Source organism: Homo sapiens, chromosome 10 (genome assembly GCF_000001405.40).
Source record: "Homo sapiens chromosome 10, GRCh38.p14 Primary Assembly".
Classification (NCBI taxonomy): Eukaryota; Metazoa; Chordata; class Mammalia; order Primates; family Hominidae; genus Homo; species Homo sapiens.
In genome coordinates, this window is record NC_000010.11 from 70,625,021 (window position 1) to 70,625,876 (window position 856).

General features: G+C 45.3%; 1 annotated feature.

Moving 5' to 3' along the window:
• Nucleotides 267–856: an enhancer, noted in NCBI's record as "H3K27ac hESC enhancer chr10:72385043-72385632 (GRCh37/hg19 assembly coordinates)". NCBI's record gives its function as "activates a minimal SCP1, AML or CMV promoter by ChIP-STARR-seq in primed H9 embryonic stem cells {active_cell/tissue: H9 hESC(primed)}" and the evidence as "EXISTENCE:reporter gene assay evidence [ECO:0000049][PMID:30033119]".

The following is an 856-nucleotide window of genomic DNA, read 5'->3' on the forward strand; positions in this document are numbered from 1 at the left end:
CACATAAGGTCGGGAGTTCGAGACCAGCCTGACCAACATGGAGAAACCCCGTCTCTACTAAAAATACAAAATTAGCTGGGCGTGGTGGCACATGCCTGTAATCCCAGCTACTGGGGAGGCTGAGGCAGGAGAATCGCTTGAACCTGGGAGGCGGAGGTTGCAGTGAGCCGAGATCGCGCCATTGCACTCCAGCCTGGGCAACAGGAGTGAAACTCTGTCTCAAAAAAAAAAAAAAATAGATAAAAATAAAAAAAAAGATAAATTACAAAGAAGTGGGCCAAAGTGCAGCCTGCTTAGTGCTCCTAATGCTTAATAATGAGTATATTTCTGCCCAGAACACTGCATGTATTTCTTGTTAACCCTGAAAGGATGGTTTTATATGCATAAAGTATATGTGTTATTAAACTTCTGTTTGTTATTCTCTTGTCACTCTTTTGTTCCAGGGATCTGTCCTAACTAAGAACTATGAAGGTGTAAACCAAAATAAAATCCTAAAAGCTGGGCATGGTGGCTTATGCCTGTAATCCTAGCCTTTTGGAAGGCCAAGATGGGTGGATCACCTGAGCTCAGGAGTTTAAGACCAGCCTGGGCAACATGAAACCCTGTCTCTACCAAAAACAAAAACAAAAACAAAAACAAAAAACAACTGGGCATGATGGCATGTGTCTGTAGTCCCAGCTACTTGTGGGGCTGAGGTGGGAGGATCGCTTGAGCGCAGGAGGTGGAGGCTGCAGTAAGCCGAGATCGCACCATTACACTCCAGCCTGGGTGACAGAGTGAGACTCTGTCTCAAAGAAAAAAAATCCTAAGTCCCCCAGTAGACTGAATGAACCCTTTTGGCCAAGGGGATCCTAGG